The sequence below is a fragment of the Homo sapiens genome, chromosome 9 (genome assembly GCF_000001405.40).
Source record: "Homo sapiens chromosome 9, GRCh38.p14 Primary Assembly".
Taxonomy (NCBI): Eukaryota; Metazoa; Chordata; class Mammalia; order Primates; family Hominidae; genus Homo; species Homo sapiens.
The window spans coordinates 130705045-130726287 of record NC_000009.12 but is presented as its reverse complement, the minus strand read 5'-3'; the positions used below and the strand labels follow the sequence as shown (position 1 = coordinate 130726287).

Here is a 21243-nt window from a genome sequence, read left to right as displayed (position 1 = left end):
TCACAATTTTCTACTTCTTAAGCAAGATAGTGGAATGCAGAGGTATTCATTTGTGATCATTCATCAAGCTGTACATTCAATTTGTGCCCCTTTCTGTATGCATATTACACTTTTTTAAAAAAAATATTAAAATATCAGGTCGCGCAAGGGAGCTCAATCCTGTAATCTTAACACTTTGGGAGGTTGAGGCAGGAGTATCACCTGAGCCCAGGAGTTCAAGACCAGCTTAGACACCATAGCAAGACTCTGTCTCTATAAATTTTTTTTTTAAATTAGCCAGGTGTGGTAGTGCACACCTGTGGTCCCAGCTACTCGAGAGGCTGAGGTGGGAGGACTGCCTGAGCCCGGGAGGTCAAGGTTGTAGCAAGCTTGAACTCCTGGGCTCAGGCAATCACACCACTGCACTCCAGTCTGGGAGACAGAGTGAGACTGTCTCAAAAAAAAAAAAAAAAAAAAAAAAAAACCACCATACACAAGTTCCACCAACAGATGGACAAAATTTGGTGTGTATATATATATACACACACAATGGGATATTATTCAGCCTTAAAAAAGAAGAAATTCTGATACACGTAACAACAGATGCACCTTTAAAACATGCTAAGTGAGGCCAGGCACGGTGGCTCATGCCTGTAATCCCCGCACTTTGGGAGGCCTAGGCAGGCGGATCACCTGAGGTCAGGAGTTCGAGACCAGCCTGACCAATATGGAGAAACCCCATCTCTACTAAAAATACAAAATTAGCCAGGCATGGTGGCACATGCCTGTAATCCCAGCTACTTGGGAGGGTGAGGCAGAAGAACTGCTTGAACCTGGGAGGCAGAGGTTGCAGTGAGCCGAGATCGCGCCATTGCACTCCAGCCTGGGCAACAAGAGCAAAACTCCGTCTCAAAAACAAACAAACAAACAAACAAAAACACTAAGTGAAATAAGCCAGACACAAAAGGGCAAATATTGTATTATTATAGTTATATGAAGTCCTAGAATGAGCAAATTCATAGAGAGAAAAAGCATAAAAGTGGTTACCAAGAAGTGGGGAAAGAGGGAAATGGGATATTATTTTTTAATGGGTACAGAGTTTCTACTTAGGATGATGAAAAAGTTCTGAAAATGGATAGTGATGATGACTGCATCACTGGGAATATACTTAATGCCACTGAGTTATACACCTAAACAGGTTAAAATGGTAACTTTTCTGTATATTTTACCACAATAAAAAAATAAACACAGAAGGGAGATGACAAAGGGAACGTTATCGTTTGAAAAGCGTTGCAATATGATGCACACGTTGTGCGGCCACTGTGGCTCTAAGGCCTGTCACCTTCCGAAGTCTACCTGTGGCAAATGTGGCTACCCCGCCAAGCGCAAGAGGAAGTATGACTGGTGTGCCAAGGCTAAAAGACTAAAGGCCACAGGGACTGGGCGAATGAAGCGGCGTGGATTTCCATAAAGGAACAACACCTAAACCCAAAAGGGCAGCTGTTGCAGCATCCAGTTCATCTCAAGAATTTATTTGCTTTTTTTTTTTTTTTTTTTTTTTAAAGACAGGGTTTCGCTCTGTCGCCCAGGCTGGAGTGCAGTGGCACAATCCCAGGTAGCTGGGATTACAGGTATGCGTCACCACGCCTGGCTAATTTTTAAGTAAAGATGGGTTTTCACCATGTTGGCCAGGCTGGTCTCAAACTCCTGAGCTCAAGTGATCCGCCCATCTTGGCCTCCTAAAGTGCTGGGATTACAGGCATGAGCCACCGAGCCCAGCCAAGAATTTCAAAGATTAGCCACACAATAAATGTTCTGGTTTTTAAAAATACAAAAATAAATAAATAAAATAAACATATATAAGTATATTCATTGGGAAAGAAACCCCAGAACCAGATAAAAAGTCCTAGGATACATAAGAAAATAAGTTAGCTATTTGAGAACTTTCATTCCTTGTAAGTGAATAAAAAGTTTAATTTCTCATTTAGTCCATTTAATATCATTCTTATCAAGAATTTTTTTTATGGAGAGCCTATGTATTCAGCATTATGCTGGGGAAACAGAAAATGAGATGAAACCTGCATTCACAAGCTTACAGTTTACTTGAGGAGTTCGAGGCTGCAGTGAACAGTGATCATATCATTGTACTCCAGCCTGGGCGACAAAGCAAGACCTTATCTCTTAAAAATTTTTTTAAAAGGCCACGCATGGTGGCTCACGCCTGTAATCCCAGCACTTTGGAAGGCCAAGGCAGGTGGATAACGAGGTCAGGAGATCGAGACCATACTGGCTAAGATGGTGAAACCTGGTCTCTACTAAAAATACAAAAATTGGCCAGGTGTGGTGGCGGGCGCCTGTAGTCCTAGCTACTCGGGAGGCTGAGGCAGGAGAATGGCATGAACCCAGGAGGCGGAACTTGCAGTGAGCCAAGATCGCGCCACTGCACTCCAGCCTGGGTGACAGAGCGAGACTCCATCTCAAAAAAAAAAGTTAAAAAAAAGTTAAAAAATAAAAAACAAACCTACCTACGTTTCAACACTCTCTTCCATGAAACTCACATAAAACTATTAGGAAATACTACTAGGAAGTATATGATTATGTATTCATTTGTGTTGCAGAAGAGTTACAAGGGCAGAAGTTACAGAAAATTTAATGAGGACCAGAGATGTAAAATATGGTTTCAGAAGGGAGGGGGGACTGGAAGAGAGTGTTGAAAGGTTAAGCAGGTTTGTTTTTTGTTTGTTTGTTTGTTTTTTACTTTTAAAGGATAGGGTCTTGCTTTATCACACAGGCTGGAGTACAATGATATGATCACAGTTTGCTTCAGCCTCGAACTCCTGGACTCAAGTAATCCTTCTGCCTCAGCCTCCCAAGTAGCTAGACAAGCACAGGACATTATTATGCCTAGCTAACTTTTTTATTTTTAGTACTAATAGGGTGTTGCTATGTTGTCCAGGCCACTCTCTCAAACTCCTGGTCTCAGAGGACCGTCCCACCTTGGGTTCCCAAAGTGCTGGGATTACAGGTGTGAGCCACTGCACCTGGCCAGCAGGTAGGATCTGAACACACAGGGGAGTGACATCAGGGGCACAACTACCAAAAAGGCAGGGACGAACACAGCAAGGAGTCAGGGAACTGCAGAGGCACAGGGCAGAGAAGGCCTTCGGGAGACCTCCTCTTACTGAAGCCCATCCTCAGTAGCCATTTTAATCTTTTTACCCCCTAGTCACAGAAAATATGCCCGACACATTCCTATGGGTTTAATTCCCAGCTAAATCATGTTAACACATCCCTCTCCCTCCCATTCAAAAAATGCTTCTATTTGCAACACACTTCACAACACATCAGTGTGTTCACACTTGGAGATCTGAAGCACAAGCACGGTTCTGTCCTGAACTGATACAAAATGATTTCACATTTTTTCCCACTTTCATTTTCTTTGACAACATGCTTCATTTAAATGAAGTAAAACTCTTTTGGTCAAATCATCTTTGATCATCTTTCTTTACTTACCCCACAATTGAAACTTCTGTTTTCTTCTATATTACAAATTTCTTAAAATGGGTAGTAAGGTTTCATGAAAAATAAGAAGGCCATACAAAATGTATTAGACTATTGGAAACAACTGAATGCTTATAAAAAATGTACATACATGGCCAGGTGCAATGGCTCACCTGTACGATCCCATTGCTTTGGGAGGCTAAGGCAAGAGGATCACTGGAGCCCAGGAGTTCAAGGCTGCAGTGAGCTATGACTGTGCCACTACACTCCAGCCTGGGTGACAAAGCAAGACCCTGTCTCTAAAATAAAGTACATACCTCCAATTTTGCATTTTCACAGTCCACGTGCCACAATCCAATCCCTAGCATTAAGTAGATGGATATAATCTTTCCAAATAACCTTTTTATTTTTTTTTGAGATGGAGTCTCGCTCTGTTGCCCAGGCTGGAGTGCAGTGGTGTGATCTTGGCTCACTGCAATCTCTGCCTCCCAGGTTCAAGCGATTCTCCTGCCTCAGCCTCCTGAGTAGCTGGGATTACAGGCATATGCCACCATGCCCTGCTAATTTTTGTATTTTTAGTAGAGATGGGGTTTCACCATGTTGGTCAGGCTGGTCTCGAACTCCTGACTTCAGGTGATCCACCCGCCTCAGCCTCCCAAAGTGCTGGGATTACAGGCGTGAGCCACCACGCCCAGCCTGTCCAAATAACCTCTTTGAGAATCGGATAGCCAGGCACGGTGGCTCACGCCTGAAATCCCAGCACTTTGGGAGGTCGAGCCAGGTAGATCATGAGGTCACGAGATCAAAACCATCCTGGCTAACAGGGTGAAACCCCGTCTCTAATAAAAATACAAAAAATTAGGCTGAGGCAGGAAAGAGAATCGCTTGAACTCGGGAGGTGGAGGTTGCAATGAGCTGAGATTGTGCCACTGCACTCCAGTCTGGGCAACAGAGCAAGGCTCTGTCTCAAAAAAAAAAAAAAAAACAAAAAAAAACCTGACAAATTTAACTTTAATGCCTATAGGATCCAATAATTGCACTTCCTCCCACCTTCTAATGTATACAGATACTTAGTATAATTTTATTTTATTTTATTTTGAGACAGGGTCTCACTCTGTCACCCAGATTGGAGTGCAATAGCACCATCACAGCTCACTGCAGCCTTGGCTTCCCAGGCGCAGGTGATTCTCCCACTTTAGCCTCTTGAGTAGCTGGGATTACAGGCGTGTACCACCACGCCCAGCTAATTTTTTGTACTGTTAGTAGAGATGGGGTTTCGCCATGTTGCCCAGGCTGGTCTTGAATTCCTGGGCTCAAGTGATCCATCTGCCTTGGCCTCCCAAAGTGCTGGGATTACAGGCATGAGCCACCGCACCTGGCCTTAGTATAATTTTAAGAGTAATGAGAATTAGTGTTTGTTTTGTTTTTTTGAGACAGAGCCTTGCTCTGTCACCCAGGCTGGAGTGCGGTGGCATGATCTTGGCTCACTGCAACCTCTGCTTCCCAGGTTCACGTGATCCCTCTGCCTCAGCCTCCCATGTAGGTGGGACTATAGGTGTGTGCCACCATGCCGACTAATTTTTGTATTTTTAGTAGAGACGAGGTTTCACCATGTTGGCCAGGGTGGTCTCGAACTCCTGACCTCAAGTGATCCGCCCGCCTTGGCCTCCTAAAGTGCTGGGATGACAGGCGTGAGTCACAGCGCCCGGCCTACAGTGTTGATTTATCAAGTGTCTATTATTTTAAATAAAGTTTTGAGAACCATAAGTGGTTTTACCTGATGGTAAATATTTTTTTTTTTTTTGAGACAGGGTCTTGCTCTGTTGCCCAGGCTGGAGTGCAGTGGCGCAATCACAGCTTACCACTGCAGCCTCGACCTTCATTTCAATAAAAGGCAACTCTATTCTTCCAGTTATTCAGTTCGAAAACCTGAGAGTCACACTTGGCCCCTCTCACACCCCCATATCCCACATCTAATCCGAGAGCAAATCTTGTCGGTTCTGACCCTCCACCCAGTGCCACCACTTTGGTCCAAGCATCATCACTCTTACCTGGCTCTGTGCAATCAATGCCCCCGTGGAATCCCTGCTCCCTTGTCCTCCTTCAGATCATAGCAGCCAGAGAGATTCTATTTCATACTGAAACATACATCAGATAGTATAGTCCCCTCGGAAAATTCTCCAAGGCCTTCCCACATCATATGAATCAAAGTCAAAATCCTTGAAATGGGCCAATAAGGCCACCCTCTCCTTCAGCCATTCTCTTCCCACCCTCCATTTTACCTCCTGCATCTCTCCTTTTGCTCTTTGCTCTGGTGCAGTGGCCTCTAGGCTGCTCCTTGAAACTAGCAAGCTCTGCCTCAGGTTTCTGCATCCTGGTTCCCTCGGCCTGAAATTCTTTCACATATTTCAACAGGGCCTGCTGCTCATCTTCCTCCTTCGGGTCTTTAATCAAATGCCGCCCTCTCAGTCAGGCCTCTCTAGCCACCCTAACTAAAATTACACCTCCTACCCCATTCCCTGTCCCCTTCTCTATGTTATTCTTCTCCTCAGCACATATCACTAACATATCTGTATTTTATTTACTTAGCTTATTTATGATGTGTCTCCTCCCACTAGAATGTAAGTTCTAGGAGGGCAGGGATTGTTTTGTTTACAAATATATCATCAGTGACTACAACACGACCTGTCATAGTCTGTGCTCAATAAAATAAATGTTTGTTGAAGGAAGAAGGAAACACTAAGGAAAAAGTTGACTACTAAGTGCTTTCAATTGTTGTACCAACTCTCCCAAAAGTGAATTTTCTTAGTCAAGCCACTGAAATTTGAAAGGAACATATGGTGCATGAAATATTTAATAACATGGTTTCCTCTTTTCCCTTGTAAATATGACTAGCCCTTTGACCCTGAATGATTCTGGCAAAAAGTTGCCATCTGCCCACTCTTTCAGATTCACCATCAACAACAACACCAACGCTATTCTTGGCTTCCAGATCCATGTCTGCTCCAACACCGTACATTTCTGAATTCAAGTTTTTCAATCTAACCTACATGGATATTAACCAACTCTAGAAAGATCAGCCTATGAAAGATCGCAAACAATCTGTAACACAAAATAACATGGTATTCCCTTAGAAAAAGAATACCCAGGGTCCAAAGAAATTGGTTTGTCTTCAGACACAACTTAAGCAAATTCTTTCATAAAAAGGGATCTGAAAAAAGTGACAGGTTGGGCTGTCATCAATTCAGTTTTTATTTTTATTTATTTATTTATTTTGAGATGGAGTCTCACTCCGTCGCCCAGGCTGGGAGTGCAGTGGCGTGCAATCTCAGCTCGTTGCAACCTCGACCTCCTGGGTCTAAGCAACTCTCCTGTCTCAGCCTCCCGAGTAGCTGGGACTACAGGCACCTGCAACCACGCCCAGCTAATTTTTGTATTTTTAGTAGAGACAGGGTTTTACCTTCTTGGTCAAGCTGGTCTCAAACTCCTGACCTCAGGTGATCCACATGTGTCAACCTCCCAAAGTGCTGGGATTATAGGCATGAGCCACCGTGCCTGGCCTCAGTTTTTAAATCTTCGAATTTTTCGTATTATAAGATAACCCAAGTTTGTTGTAAAAAGACACTTGGAACATCACACAAACCAAAAAGAGAAAGTTTTCTCCGATTCCACCTAAAGCTCCAAGTCCCTAGAGATAAAAATTTCGGTGTAAAATCCTTCCATACTTTTTTTTCCTGGACATACACAAATAAACAGATATTTTTGTTTTACAAAAATGGGGCCATACCATAAATAATGATTTTCAAATTGCTTTTTTTCTACTCACCACAACACAGACATCATTCAGTGTTAGTACTTCAGCAACAAACATCCCTATGTGCCTTCTTGATAGACTTTCCATAGCAACAGTTCTCAAACTTTGTTTTGAGATGGGGTCTTGCTCTGTTACCCAGGCTGCAGTGCAGTGGCGTGATCATGGCTCACTGCAGCATTGGCCTCCCGAGCTCAAGTGACCCTCCCACCTCAGCCACTCAAGTAGCTGGGAACACAGGTGTGATAACACGTCTGGCTAATTTCTTTTGTTCTTGTTGTAGAGACAGGGTCTTCTTATGTTGCCCAGGATGATCTTGAACTCCTGGGCTCAAGCAATCCACCTGCCTTTGGCCTCCCAAAGTGTGAAATTACAGGCATAAGCCACAGTGCCTGGCCTCAAACTTTTTAATCTCAGGCCCTTGTCACACTCTTGAAAAATAACCGAAGGCCCCTAAGAGGCTTAGTTTGTGTAGGTTATCTCATCAATAGTTACCACATTAGAAATGAATACTGAAATTTAAAAACATAATTATTCATTTAAAAACAAATATTTTTATTACTGGAAAATAACTGTTTTCTCCCCCCAAAACAGACTTTCTAGATAACCGTAGATATTGTTCTTTGATGCTACATCAAAACATGGTAAATGGTAGTTTCTTTTTTTTTTTTTTTTTTTTGAGACAGAGTCTCATTCTGTTACCCAGGCTGAAGTGCAGTGGTGCGATCTCAGGTCACTGCAACCTCTTCCCCCGGGGCTCAAGATATTCTCCTGCCTCAGCCTCCTGAGTAGCTGAGATTACAGGTGCATGCCACCACGCCCATCTAATTTTTGTATTTTTAGTACAGACGGGGTTTCATCACGTTGGCCAGGCCAGTTTCGAACTACTGACCTCAAGTGATCCGCCTGCCTCATCCTCCCAAAGTGCTCGGATTACAGGCGTGAGCCACCACACCCAGCCAGGAATTTCTTTTTTTTTTTTTGAGACAAGAGTTTCGCTCTTGTTGCCCAGGCTGGAGTGCAATGGCGTGATCTCGTCTCAATGCAACCTCCGCTCCGGGGTTCAAGCAATTCTCCTGCCTCAGCCTCCTGAGTAGCTGGGATTAGAGGCATGTGCCACCACGCCCGGCTAATTTTTTACTTTTGGTAGAGACAGGGTTTCTCCATGTTAGTCAGGCTGGTCCTGAACTCCCGACCTCAGGTGATCTGCCCACTTCGGCCTCCCAAAGTGCTGGGATTACAGGCGTGAGCCACTGTGCCCGGCCTAGCCAGGAATTTCTTAAAGGCTGGCTGCCTTTAAGAAACTCTACCAATGAACTGTATTTTTTTTTTTTTTTACCCCCCAGAGACACGGTCTCCCTCTATTGCCCAAATTGGAATGCAGTGCTGTGTTCATGGCTCACCGCAGCCTCGACTCTTTGGCTCCAGTGGGAGCTTGGCTAATTTTTTAAATTTCTGTAGAGGTAAGATCTCACTAGATTGCACAGCTGGGTTCGAACTCCTGACCTCAGGTGATCCACCTGCCTCGGCCTCCCAAAGTGCTGGGATTACAAGCACGAGCCACAGCACCTGGCCTCCATTTTGCACTTTGAATGGATCTTTAACCTGTGCATGATTTTATATCATGCATTGATCATTTAGAAAATAATGGTTTGGCTGGGCACGGTGGCTCACACCTGTAATCCCAGCATTTTGGGAGGCTGAGGTGGCCAGATCATTTGAAGTCAGGAGTTCAAGACCAGCCTGGCTAACATGGTGAAACTCCATCTCTACTAAAAATACAAAAATTATTCACTTGTGGTGGTGCATGCCTGTAATCCCAGCTACTCAGGAGGCTGAGGCACGAGAATTGCTTAAACCTGGGAGGTGGAGGTTGTAGTGAGCCGAGATCATGCCACTACACTCCAGCCTAGACAACACAGCAAGACTCTGTCGCAAAAACGAACAAAAAAGAAAATATTGATTTACTGATTTATGTAGATCTTCCAAATAATACATTTCATTATAAGATATTAAAATATGGCATCTGTAAATATTACCACCAATCTCTATATCACAGAGGCAGATAAAAATTCTCCATTAGCCAGGCATGGTGGTGCACACCTGTAATCCCAGCTACTTGGGAGGCTGAGGCAGGAGAATCGCTTGAACCCGGGAGGCAGAGGTTGCAGTGAGCCGAGATTGCACCACAGCACTCCAGCCCGGGCGACAAGAGCGAAACTCTACCCCGAAGAGGAAAAAAAAAAAATTCTCCAAAATCCTAATTTTCACTGGAAAGCTAAAATTTCATCATTGGCAACAAATGCTACCTGTTGTTTTCTTTGAAAGATTCCTTCATACACTTTTTAGTCTGAATAACCATAGTTTGTCATAGTTTCAAGTAAAAATGGCAGTCCATGAAAAAAGTGGCTAGTTCAGTTTGCAACCCAACCACCAAAGTGCTTTTCCTGGAGATAATCATTATACTTTACTGTACAGAAGTGCTTGATGCATACCCCCCTTTTTAACCCACAGAATATTAAGAAGACATACACAAGGGTCAAAATGTAATAAAATTAATAATTTTTGCTGCTTCATCAAGGTATTGTCCAGTGAAAACTAGCCAGGCGCAGTGGCTCACTCCTGTAATCCCAGCACTTTGGGAGGCCAAGGTGGGTGGATCACCTGAGGTCAAGAGTTCAGGACCAGCCTGGCCAACATGGCGAAACCCCGTCTCTACTAAAAAATACAAAAATTAGCCGGGCGTCAGTGACGCGTGCCTGTAGTCCCACCTACTTGGGAGGCTGAGGCAGGAGAATCGCTTGAACCCAGGAGGCAGAAGTTACAGTGAGCCGAGATCGCCACACTGCACTCCTGCACTCCAGCCTGGGTGACACACAGAGACTCTGACTCAAAAAAAAAAAAAAAAAAAAAAAAAAAAAAAAGGACATTTTTCAGTGAAAAGTGGATATATATGTGTGTGTGTGTGTGTATATATATATTTAGTTTGTTTAACTGTGAGTGCACGTCATGAAGAATGCAATGACTACAAGTATAGTTAGGTGCCACAACCCTGAATCATGCTAAGACACCTGCTTTACTTTTGTACCATTACTGCAAACGTCAACACAGCAAAAGAGACAAGACCTTGGTACTCTATTAACAAGAAAATAGTTTTAGCCTCTCAACCCCTGAAGAGATATCAGGGACACACAGGGAACTACACTGCTTTCTCTACTAGCTTCCCAGAATGGGATTACTGGGTCATTGGCACGTACATTTCAAATTCTGATAAGTTCCGCCAAAGCTCTCCAAAAAGTCTGTTCCAATTTTCACTATGTAAGGTGCATGATCATCACTAGTTAAAATGTAAATAATTCACTTTTTAAATCCTGAATTTGGGAACCATCATAACAACACATTACCATATTTGCCTGCCTAAAAACAAAGCTAAAATAGAACTAATGTTTCAAGGCAAAGTAAAATCCAAGCACCCGGATTTATTTAGATGAAGTGAATATTTTCCCGTAAGAAAGTAAAACTTCAGCTGTCAAATGCAAGTTCATCCAACAGAAGCCTTTGTTGACTGCAGTCACCCAATGTTGGGGTATTTCTGAATGAATTTCAAAGTATAAGCCACTGGCACACTTCATACGTTTGCTTATAGGATAGGTGGGCTCAACTGATTTTTTAATATAAAGGACACAATCCAAAAAATGTCAGGCTGCAACAGTACAAACAGTAACCCTAATTAACTGGTTATAGACATCAGTGTAAGCCGACCCTTAGCTTTAACTTCGCACAGAATTACTGGACATGAACAACATAAAATGTACGGGCAGCATTCAAATGCCAAATATGTTCATAAAAATGTCACAGATAACCTTTATTGGCCCAAATATCATTCTAAACAGGGAGAAGACAGGATGAAAGCTTCATCAACGAGGAAGAGATTACTCCTTATGGAAGGTAAGACAGAAGCTGTCTATCTAAAATTCACAAGGAATGCTGCTTCCCCACTTGATTTTTCCCACATGGCTCCAAAGTGAGTATTTTCAAGTCCTACTTACGAAGGAAAAGGTCAAGGATATTAGCGTCAACCAGTATCTATGATTCTTAACTTTCTCAGGAACACAAACCACTTTGAGAATATGATAAAAGCTCTCTGTAGACAAAGCAGTAAAGAATCCATGCTTGTCAGAAGAGCCCACGACTTCGGTTAGAGCAGAATCATAGAACCAGGGACCCTAAGAAACCACTGAAGTCCAGCCCCTCAGGAAACTAAAGCCCTGGAACAGTAAAGTGGCTTGTCCAAGGTCAACAGTGAATTAGCAGAGGAATCAGGCAAGAAATAAGCAACTCAAATAGATTTTGAATAAAGCCGAAGTCACGAAGTAACTTTTTCTTATACAAAGAAAGTTCCACTAAGAGATAACTACAGTAACAAATTTATTAAGTGGAATTGGAAGGAACTGTCGCAAGTACTGTTGTTCAAAGTTCCTTGAAGGCCTAAGATGAATGCATGAGGAAAACCATGAGCAGAAATTTTGAAAAGCACTCACCATGTTCCACAAAAACATTGCAGTGTGGACCCCCATGCCTCGATGATTCCTTCTTCCCTGCTCCTTTGATAAAATGCAGGGCAGGCAAGCTTGGCCTTCTTTGGTCCCCAAGTACTTTTCCAGGCTGCTGCCCCATAAAGTAATAATAGGTACCCCTTTCCAGAAGAGGGTTCAAGATCTTCCAGAACGGTCAGCGAGCGTAGAGGGAAATGGCATATACGTGGGATTTCACATTCGCTGCATCTCCACAAGTCAGCAATTGAAGTCAATCACAGAAAGACATCTTCCATAACAAAAGGAAGCACTTTTTTTAGGTTGACACTTGCAAGCAGGAGTTCCAATTATTTTCGCGGTTATCAATTTCATGTAATTGCAATGTTACCCAAAAGTTTCTTGATTTGTTTTAAACGGGCTGAATAACAATTTCTTTTCAAGAAGAAAAACCTAAACAGAAATATTCACAGGGGATGCTGAAAAGGGTCAATAATGCTAGTCATTTCAATTCTCACACATAAAGGAAACGCTGATGGTCTTTGGCTACTCCTCCAGAACTTTTCCTGTGGAAGTCACCAACCCCCTATCTTAGCTTCTTCATCTTCCAACAAATTTCCTGCCGAACTAGTGGCCGCTCTCGCTTCTCTGCTTTGCTCTCCGGAAAAGGACACGGGTCACCCAGATTTCAGCGAGTTTGCCCTCGACTCTGACGAAAAGGAATGCATTGCCAGCAACTTTTAAGTCCGCTTTTTAAAAGGCCTGTGGAACCAATCCAGACTTTTCCTTTGCATTAAAGTTTTTGGCTGAGCTGAGACTAAGGGGGCCGTAGGTGACATTGGAAGAAGTCAGGGCATTAGAGGCTCGCGGGAGCCACCTTGGGGGAAGGGGAGACCCCTTGACAGCAAGGGAGGGATTTGAATGGGAGGCTCCGTGGCCAAAGTTGGGGCCGGGATCCGGAATAAGGGGCGGCTTGGGGCTGAGGGAAGCTGTCGGGGCGCGGCACGGGCAGCTTACTCCGGGGCGACGCTCTTCCACGCCTCAGAAAACGGGGTGTCCCAAGCTGGGGGAAACAGACCACCCGCAGTGTCCCAAAGCCGGGGCGGGGCTGTAAGGGACGAAGGACTCTCGCGGCCCAGACAGCGGAAGGCGGGCCCCGTGTAGAGGAGGCCCGGCCGCCTCAGCTGCCCCAAGCCCGGGGGTCTCTGCCCGAGACACCCCCTCCCCCGGCCCCGGACGCTGACACCACCACCGCCCTCAGGCAGTCACATCTCCCGAGCTCCGCCGAGGGACCCAGCCGCCCCCCGCCGGTAGGGGCCGTGGACAGCGGAGGGGCTCCTCAGCCGCAGGACCCGGGAACCGGCTCCGGCTCCAGCGCTGCTCAGGCACAGACACCAAACCCCGCGGCCGCCATGATGGATTACGAGCCGCTCCACAACGAGGCCAGGCCCCGCCCTCGGCCCCGCCCACGGCGACGTCCGGAGCCCGCCTCGAGGGGACCCGGATGCCCCAAGAGCCGCTTTCCCGGGACACCGCCGCCCCTCCCGGCTCTGGTCCCACTGCCTGCGAAAGCCCGGCCCGGCACGACCTTTTAAATGTGGCTTCTCTGAGCGCAAGGTGAGTGGTAAGGAAGCACCCGCCTCCTCTGTATTGCCATTGGCCTCCGAGAATCCGGGTCAGGCCTCTTTCCTCCGTCCCATTGGCCGGTGGGAGCAGTAGGGTTGGATCTCCCAGCCAACCGTGTTCGGCGCAGTCCGCGGTGCGTGCCGGGAGTTGTGGTCCCATGGCACGCGCCCGAGTCCGCCTGCACCAAGACTCCTGGCCCGGGCCCCGACTTCTGGGGCTCGGCCCCGCCCTCCTGGGACCTGGTAGATTCTTGCCGGCCTAGCGTAGGCCGGACCGCGTCTCCCCGGCGCGAGTAGTGAGACCTGGAAGAGCCAAAGCGAGGGAAAAATTGCGGATTGGATTTTCCTGGAAGCGGAGTCGGATAACCTCCTTCAGTCTCTAAGGGAGAAAATTTGGCTCGCTCCTAGAAACCAAGGTTTTTGATGCCTTTCAAGCCCTTCACCCTCCAAAAAGCATAAATATTAGAACTAGCGGGCCGGGCGCGGTGGCTCACGCCGGTAATCCCAGCACTTTGGGAGGCCGAGACGGGCGGATCACCTGAGGTCGGGAGTTCGAGACCAGCCTGACCAACATGGAGAAACCCCGTCTCTACTAAAAATACAAAATTAGCCAAGCGTGGTGGCACATGCCTGTAATCCCAGCTACTCAGGACGTTGAGGCAGGAGACTCGCTTGAACCCGGGAGGTAGAGGTTGCGGTGAGGCGAGATGGCACCATTGCACTCTAGCCTGGGCAACAAGAGCGAAACTCCGTCTCAAAAAGAAAAAAAAAAAAAAACTAGCGAAGAAATATACAGACATAGGGAAAACATCCGACATGTTGCTAACGAATTCAACTGTTTCTTTGGGCATTAGGAGGCTTACTCATTACAGAAAAGGCATTTGTTGGGTTTGCCAGGCGCTATCAGATGTTTGCCCCAGAACGAACCTTTAACATTATAAACATTTCACAGGTGGACACGTGTTCACATGAAAACATCCTCTATATTAGCCGAGAAAATGCCCAGATGGTTGGGTTTAGCAAGTCGGCAGAACCAATGACCTAGATGTGCCAAAGCCACACCTAACAAATAATCCATGTTCTGCGACTAAAAAGCACCTTGGTCCCTATTATAGGCTCTCCACGCCTCCCCAGAGCGCTGCACCTGACAGGCATCCCATTTCTCCCTTTCCTTCCTTTTCTTTCTTTTCTTTTTCCTTTTCCTTTCCTTTTTTCCTCTTTCTTTCTTTCCTTCCTTTCTCTTTCCTTCTTTCTTTCCTTCTCTTTCCTTCTTTCTTTCCTTTTTTTTTTTTTCAGATGGAGTTTTGCTCTTGTCGCCCAGGCTGCGATGCAGTAACAGGATTTCAGCTCACTGCAACCTTCACCTCCCGGATTCAAGCGATTCTCCTGCCTCAGCCTCCCGAGTAGCTGGGATTACAGGCATACACCATCACACGTGCCTAATTTTTGTATTTTTAGTAGAGACAGGGTTTCACCATGTTGGCCAGGCTGGTCTCGAACTCCTGACCTCAAGCGATCCACCCACCTTGGCCTCCCAAAGTGGTGGGATTACAGGCGTGAGCCACTGCTCCTGGCCCGAGATCCCATTTCTAAGGAGGGATCCACTTATCACAGCTCCTACTTTACACCGAGCACTGTTTACACTTTCCATAAACTGCATTATCTCATGTAATCCTCACTATAGCCCAGTGAGGCATGTAATACTATTCCCCATAATACAGATGGGGAAACAGAGATGTGACTTACCTACCCAAGGTCACTTGGCCAATGTGTGACAGAGTCACAATTTCATCCCAGACTGACCTTGCTCCAAAACCCATGGTTCCCACTGTACCATTCAGTATCAAAAACCTGTTGATCTGAGACCACTGATTTTTCACAAGTTGCTACTGATATCGGAGGAACAGCTGCACGATGAGTGTTGTACATTCAGCTATTATATTAAGTATTTTAGAAATATTTCTGTCGCATTGAAAGATGACACTTATTTTTGATACTGGTTTCAAGAGGAATTAGTTACTTGGAAGGTACGGAATGGAAAACATGAAAAATTGTGCGTAGATTTAGAACTGGAATTTATAAATTCAGATGTGATTTGGTTTAGCTTTGTTCTCTCACAAAATTATCTGGCTGACAATCTTAGTTCTGATCTGTAGTGTCATTCTTCAACTGTGAATGCCCTTGTTCTGCTTTATTTACCCATTATTTATTATTTACTTATTTATTTTGAGGCAGTCTTGCTCTGTTGCCCAGGCTGGAGTGCAGTGACACGATCTCTGCTCATTGCAACCTCCACCACCCAGGCTGAAGCGATTCTCCTGCCTCCCAAGTAGCTGGGATTACAGGCACATGCCACACACCTGGCTAATTTCTGTATTTTTGTAGAGATGGGGTTTCACCATGTTGGCCAGGCTGGTCTCAAACTCCCGACCTCAGGTGATCCGCCCTCTTGGCCTCCCAAAGTGTTGGTATTACAGGCATGAGCCATTGTACTTGGCCTATTTACCCATTATCTTATCCTGATTATATCCTAATTATTCCTTCTGGAGATTGTGCTTTCTTTTTATTCCCATTCATACTTTAGTCATTTTCTCCAGATTCTTTTTTTTTTTTTTTGAGACGGAGTCTCGCTCAGTCGCCCAGGCTGGAGTGCAGTGGTGCAATCTCAGCTCACTGCAAGCTCCGCCTCCCGGGTTCACGCCATTCTCCTGCCTCAGCCTCTGGAGTAGCTGGGACTACAGGAGCCCGCCACCATACCTGGCTAATTTTTTTTGCATGTTTAGTAGAGACAGGGTTTCACCGTGTTAGCCAGGATGGTCTCGATCTCCTGACTTCGTGATCCACCCACCTCAGCCTCCCAAAGTGCTGGCATTACAGGTGTGAGCCACCGCGCACATGCTTTATTCTCTAGTTTAGCTTAAAATTGAGCAGTCAAATCAGAACCCCTAATACACATTTTTTTAAACTAACAATTCATGGCCGGGTGCGGTGGCTCACACTTGTAATCCCAGGACTTTGGGAGGCCGAGGCAGGTGGATCACTTGAGGTCACGAGTTTTGAGACCAGCCTGGCCAACATGGTGAAACCCCTCACTACTAAAAATACAGAAATTAGCCGGGCGTGGTGGCATATGCCTGTAATCCCAGCTACTTGGGAGGCTGAGGCAGGAGAATTGCTTGAGTCTGGGAGGCAGAGGATGCAGTGAGCTGAGATTGCGCCACTGCCCTCCAGTCTGGGAGACAGAGACCATGTCTCAAAAAATAAATAACAATTCACTTAAGAAGCATTTATTGAACATCTGTATGTGAAGCACTGCTTTAGGTGCTGAGACACAGTGGTGGGGGAAGAAACCCACCCTTGTCCTCATGGAACCTACATGGAAGGATGGGCAATAAGCAAAATAACAATCCAAACAAAAGATCAGCCTCAATGCTGGAATTAAATTTCTGGGTCCATAAACTTTCAGTCAGTCCAGTCCATCCTCTAAAGGACTGCATTATGACACCTCCCTAGAGCTTAAATCTACATTGATTCACAATTCAAAGGGGCTTCATCAAGTCCCTTTAATTCTGAGTTCATTTCTTCACCCGTAAATGGAGGTCATAGCTTACTTTACAAGGGTTTTGGGTTTTTTGTTTAATTTGATTTGTTTGTTTGAAGACAGGGCCTTACTCTGTTGGCCAGGCTGGAGTGCACTGGCACAATCTCAGCTCACTGCAGCCTCGACTTTCTGGGTTCTGGTGATCCTCTGGCCTCAGCCTCCCAAGTAGCTGGGACTACAGGGACATGCCACCACACCTACGTTTTTTTGTTGTTGTTGTTTTGTAGAGACAGGGTTCATGAGGATCAAACTAGATCTCATTTGGTTTTCCACAAAGATTGGGACTATGCTTCCTGGGAGTCACAGCAGAGGTCAGCTGCACCTGATCTAAAGCCTTATCCCTAGTTTTCCACTTTGCCATTTTCTTGTTTTAGGTGAGCCCCATGCCCAATGCCCAGACTCTAGTATTTTTTTCTAGAGATGCACTGTATTTTTTTTTTTTTTTTTTTTTTTGGAGACAGAGTCTCACTCTGTCACCCCGGCTGGAGTGCAGTGGCACGATCCCGGATCATTGCAACCTCCACCTCCCGGGTTCAAGCGATTCACCTGCCTCAGCCTCCTGAGGGATTACAGGCACCCACCACCACGCCCAGCTCATTTTGTATCTTTAGTAGAGATGGGGTTTCCCCATGTTAGCCAGGCTGATCTCAAACTCCCGACCTCAGGTGATCCGCCCGCCTCAGCCTCCCACAGTGCTGGGATTACAGGTGTGAGCCACCGCACCCGGCCAATGCACTGTACTTTAAAAATGCCTGTATAATACTGTAGAATGATACTTTTTTTAAAAACCGAGGCACAGTCTCAAGAGGTCCTGAGAACATAGGCCCTGAATGATACTGTTAAGGGCTTAAAAACTAGAATCCAAAGCCTGGCAAATGCCTGACAATCGGAAATAAATATTGCTTGGCTGGGTGTGGTGGCTCACACCTGTAATCCCAACACTTCAGGAGGCCAAGGCAGGCAGATCACCTGAGTTCAAGAGTTCAAGAGCAGGCTGACCAACATGGCGAAACCCCATCTCTACTAAAAATATAAAAATTCAGCTGGGCGCAGTGGCTCATTCCTGTAATCCCAGCACTTTGGGAGGCTGAGGCGGGCAGATCACGAGGTCAGAAGATAGAGACCATCCTGGTTAACACAGTGAAACCTCGTCTCTACTAAACATACACAAAATTAGCTGGGCATGGTGGCACGTGCCTGTAGTTCCAGCTACTCAAGAGGCTGAGGCAGGAGAATCGCTTGAACCCGGGAGGTGGAGGTTGCAGTGAGCCAAGATTACGCCACTGCACTCCAGCCTGGGTGACAGTGAGACTCCGTCTCAGGAAAACAAACAAACAAACAAACAAAAAAATTAGCTGGGCGTGGTGGTGGGTGCCTGTAGTCCCAGCTATGCAGGAAGCTGAGGCAAGAGTATCACGTGAACCCGGGAGGCGGAGGTTGCAGTGAGCTGACATCCCGTCACTGTACTCCAGCCTGGGGGATAGGGCGAGACTTTGTCTCAAAAAAAAAAAAAAAAAAAAGTAATATTGAGTAATATTGTCATATATTGAATAAATCCCTTCAAGTTCATATATCTTCATTAAAAGTGATTCAGTTAAAGCAACCCCCCAAGTTGCTAAAGGGATTCAGTACCATGTAAAGATTTCAGTTTATTCCATTAAAAAAAAAAAACACAAAACACCTACTGGAATTACACTTAACAATGGCGCCCTCTAGTGGGCCACTGCAAGGAAATAATCACCAATAATTGCTTTTAGATAAGCAATTTTGTGTTAGTTCCACTTAATAGGTAATCACCATTCAGCAGATACTGGATGAACAGCATGGGCTGGCAGGCTGGGAGACACCAAGTGAGGAGGGTAAATAAGCTGACATATGGCCCTGGGGAAAACCAAACCCAGCTACTCAGGAGGCTGAGGCAGGAAGATTGGCTGAGCCCAAGTCTATAGTGAGCCATGGTCATGCCAGTGTACTGCAGCCTGGATTACAGAGACCTTGTCTCTTAAAAAAACAAAACCAAACTTGACTCAGACTCCCACTCTTTGCCATTCCCTTCTCTCCAGAGATATACAGCCTGGATAACCTCAAAAACATGACAGGTCGATCCATCTAAAGCTGCAACACAGCCTATAGAATATTCAATTGTCTGCAAACTCCCCAAAACTAGTAATACAACTTGGGATAGGAAAAACAAAAAAAGAGGCCAGGAGCTGTGGCTCACACACATAATCCCAGCACTTTGGGAGGCAAAGGTGGGTGGATCGCTTGAGCCTGGGCAACAACAAAAAAATTCGTAAAAATAAAAAAAATAGGCAGCGTGTGGTGGCTCATGCCTGTAATCTCAACACTCTGGGAGGCTAAGGTGGGAAGATGGCTTGAGCAGGAGGGTTGCTTGAGGTCAGGAGTTCAAGACCAGCCTGGGCAACATAGTGAGACTTCATCTCTGCCGAAAAACAAAAAACAAAAACAATTAGCTGGATGTGGTGGCTCAGCACCTGTAGTCCCAGCTACTCAGAAGGCTGAAGTTGGAAACTGGTTGAGACCAGGAGGTTGAGACGTGATTGTGCCACTGCAGTCCAGCCTAGGTGACAGAGCAAGACCCTGTCTCAAAAAAAAAAAAAAAAAAAAAAAGCCAGGCATGGTGGTACGTCACATGCCTGTGGACCCAGCTACTCGGGAGGCTAAGATAGGTTCACTTGAGCCTGGGAGGTAGAGGCTCCAGTGATCTGTGATCCATGCCACCCCACTCCAGCCTGGGTGACAGAGTGAGACCCTGTCTCAAAAAAAGAAAGTGAGGTAAGAAGTTGTTTATTGTGTTGTTATAGAGAAGCATACCATTTAATGAAAAAGAGCCAAGTTGTATTTGAAAGTTATCAAATGCAGTGTTCAAAGTTACTACCATTGAGACTGTCCTAGGTTTACGTGGAGTAGTTAGGGCTCTGTCGGAAGGCATTTTGTCAGCCAAGCCCTTCCTCAGCTGTCCTCAGCTCCTTATTATTACCCGGAACAAAAGAACAGAAAACAATGATGTTAAGACATCTATAGCTGGGCTCAGTGGCTCACGCCTGTAATCCCAGCACTTTGGCAGGCTGAGGCGGGGGGATCACAAGGTCAGGAAATCAAAACCATCCTGGCCAACATGGTAGAATGCCACCTCTACTAAAAATACAAAAATTAGTTGGGCGTGGTGGCACGTGCCTGTAATCCCAGCTACTCGGGAGGCTTAGGCAGGAGAATCGCTTAAACCCAGGAGGCGGAGGTTGCAGTGAGCCGAGATCGCGCCACTGCACTCCAACCTGGTGACAGAGCAAGACTCCGTCTCAAAAAAACAAAAAAAAAAAAGACGTCTATAAATATCAAAAAATATGGCTGGGTGCAGTGGTTCATACCTGTAATCCAAACACTTTGGGAGGCCGAGGCGGGTGGATCACAAGGTCAAGAGATCGAGACCAGCCTGCTCAACATGGTGAAACGATCTCCACTAAAAACACAAAAATTAGCTGGGCGTGTTGGCGCATGCCTATAGTCCCAGCTACTTGGGAGGCTGAGGCAGAATTGCTTGAACCCAGGAGGTGGAGGTTGCAGTGAGCCGAGATCGAGCCACTGCACTCCAGCCTAGCGACACAGCGACACTCTGTCTCAAAAACAAACAAACAAGTTTGCCACATATGTGAAGACAGCGCTTGCATATAGTGTCCCTTTTTTTTTTTTTTTTGAGACAGTCTCACTCTGTCACCCAGGCTGGAATGCAGTGGCACGATCTCAGCTCACTGCAAGCTCCACCTCCCGGGTTCACGTCATTTTCCTGCCTCAGCCTCCCAAGTAGTAGAGCTACAGGTGCCAGCCACCATGCCAGGCTATGGTTTGTTTTTTCTGTATTTTTAGTGGAGACGGGGTTTCACCATGTTAGCCAGGATGGTCTCGATCTGACCTTGTGATCCACCCACCTCAGCCTCCCAAAGTGCTGGGATTACAGGCATGAGCCACCACGTCCGGCCGCCTTTTCTTTTCCTTTCTTTCGAGACAGTCTCACTGTGTCACCTAGGCTGAAGTGCAATGGTGCGATCTCAGCTCACTGCAACTCCGCCTCCCGAATTCAAGCGATTCTCATGCCTCAGCCTCCTGAGTAGCTGACTACATACAGGCTTGTGCCACCACACCCGGCTAATTTTTGTATTTTTGGTAAAGACGAGG

At 45.9% G+C, this 21243-nt stretch overlaps 2 protein-coding genes and 1 pseudogene across 2 annotated transcripts in view, besides 7 other annotated features; 1 reads left to right on the top strand and 2 right to left on the bottom strand.

Moving 5' to 3' along the window:
- Positions 1-744: part of a mitotic recombination region, noted in NCBI's record as "ABL major-breakpoint cluster ALL sub-region recombines with the BCR-ABL major-breakpoint cluster ALL sub-region within the BCR-ABL major-breakpoint cluster region, producing the e13a2 and e14a2 transcripts", that runs on past the window's edge. NCBI's record gives the evidence for it as "EXISTENCE:nucleotide sequencing assay evidence [ECO:0000219][PMID:20703256]".
- Positions 1-13245, bottom strand: part of ABL1 (ABL proto-oncogene 1, non-receptor tyrosine kinase) — a 174633-nt gene extending 161388 nt beyond the window's left edge. Inside the window, exon 1 of the mRNA NM_007313.3 lies at positions 11833-13245. Within this exon, the coding sequence (NP_009297.2) occupies positions 11833-11968 (136 nt within the window). The 5' untranslated portion in view covers positions 11969-13245. The remainder of the gene's footprint in view (positions 1-11832) is intronic.
- Positions 1-15130: part of a mitotic recombination region, noted in NCBI's record as "ABL major-breakpoint recombination CML sub-region recombines with the BCR-ABL major-breakpoint cluster CML sub-region within the BCR-ABL major-breakpoint cluster region, producing the e13a2 and e14a2 transcripts", that runs on past the window's edge. NCBI's record gives the evidence for it as "EXISTENCE:nucleotide sequencing assay evidence [ECO:0000219][PMID:20703256]".
- Positions 1-16159: part of a biological region, named in NCBI's record as "ABL breakpoint recombination region", that runs on past the window's edge. NCBI's record gives its function as "recombination_partner: LOC107963947 | LOC107963948 | LOC107963951 | LOC107963955 | LOC107966121 | LOC107966125".
- Positions 1-16159: part of a mitotic recombination region, noted in NCBI's record as "ABL minor-breakpoint recombination sub-region recombines with the BCR-ABL minor-breakpoint cluster region, producing the e1a2 transcript", that runs on past the window's edge. NCBI's record gives the evidence for it as "EXISTENCE:nucleotide sequencing assay evidence [ECO:0000219][PMID:20703256]".
- RPL37P17 (ribosomal protein L37 pseudogene 17) lies at positions 1228-1509 on the top strand (annotated as a pseudogene).
- LOC128092248 (uncharacterized) lies at positions 12564-12662 on the bottom strand. The gene has a single exon (NM_001414901.1). The coding sequence runs from the start codon at positions 12660-12662 to the stop codon at positions 12564-12566; it is 99 nt and encodes a 32-aa protein (NP_001401830.1).
- Positions 12938-13577: a silencer, noted in NCBI's record as "silent region_20405". NCBI's record gives its function as "represses an Ori minimal core promoter by ATAC-STARR-seq in GM12878 lymphoblastoid cells {active_cell/tissue: GM12878}" and the evidence as "EXISTENCE:reporter gene assay evidence [ECO:0000049][PMID:35858748]".
- Positions 12938-13891: a biological region, named in NCBI's record as "NANOG-H3K27ac-H3K4me1 hESC enhancer GRCh37_chr9:133587784-133588460".
- Positions 13215-13891: an enhancer, noted in NCBI's record as "NANOG-H3K27ac-H3K4me1 hESC enhancer chr9:133587784-133588460 (GRCh37/hg19 assembly coordinates)". NCBI's record gives its function as "activates a minimal SCP1, AML or CMV promoter by ChIP-STARR-seq in primed H9 embryonic stem cells {active_cell/tissue: H9 hESC(primed)}" and the evidence as "EXISTENCE:reporter gene assay evidence [ECO:0000049][PMID:30033119]".

Coding starts and splice junctions, on each gene's coding strand:
- LOC128092248 (NM_001414901.1), bottom strand. CDS start 12,662: ATGTCACCTACGGCCCCCTTAGTCTCAGCTCAGCCAAAAACTTTAATG.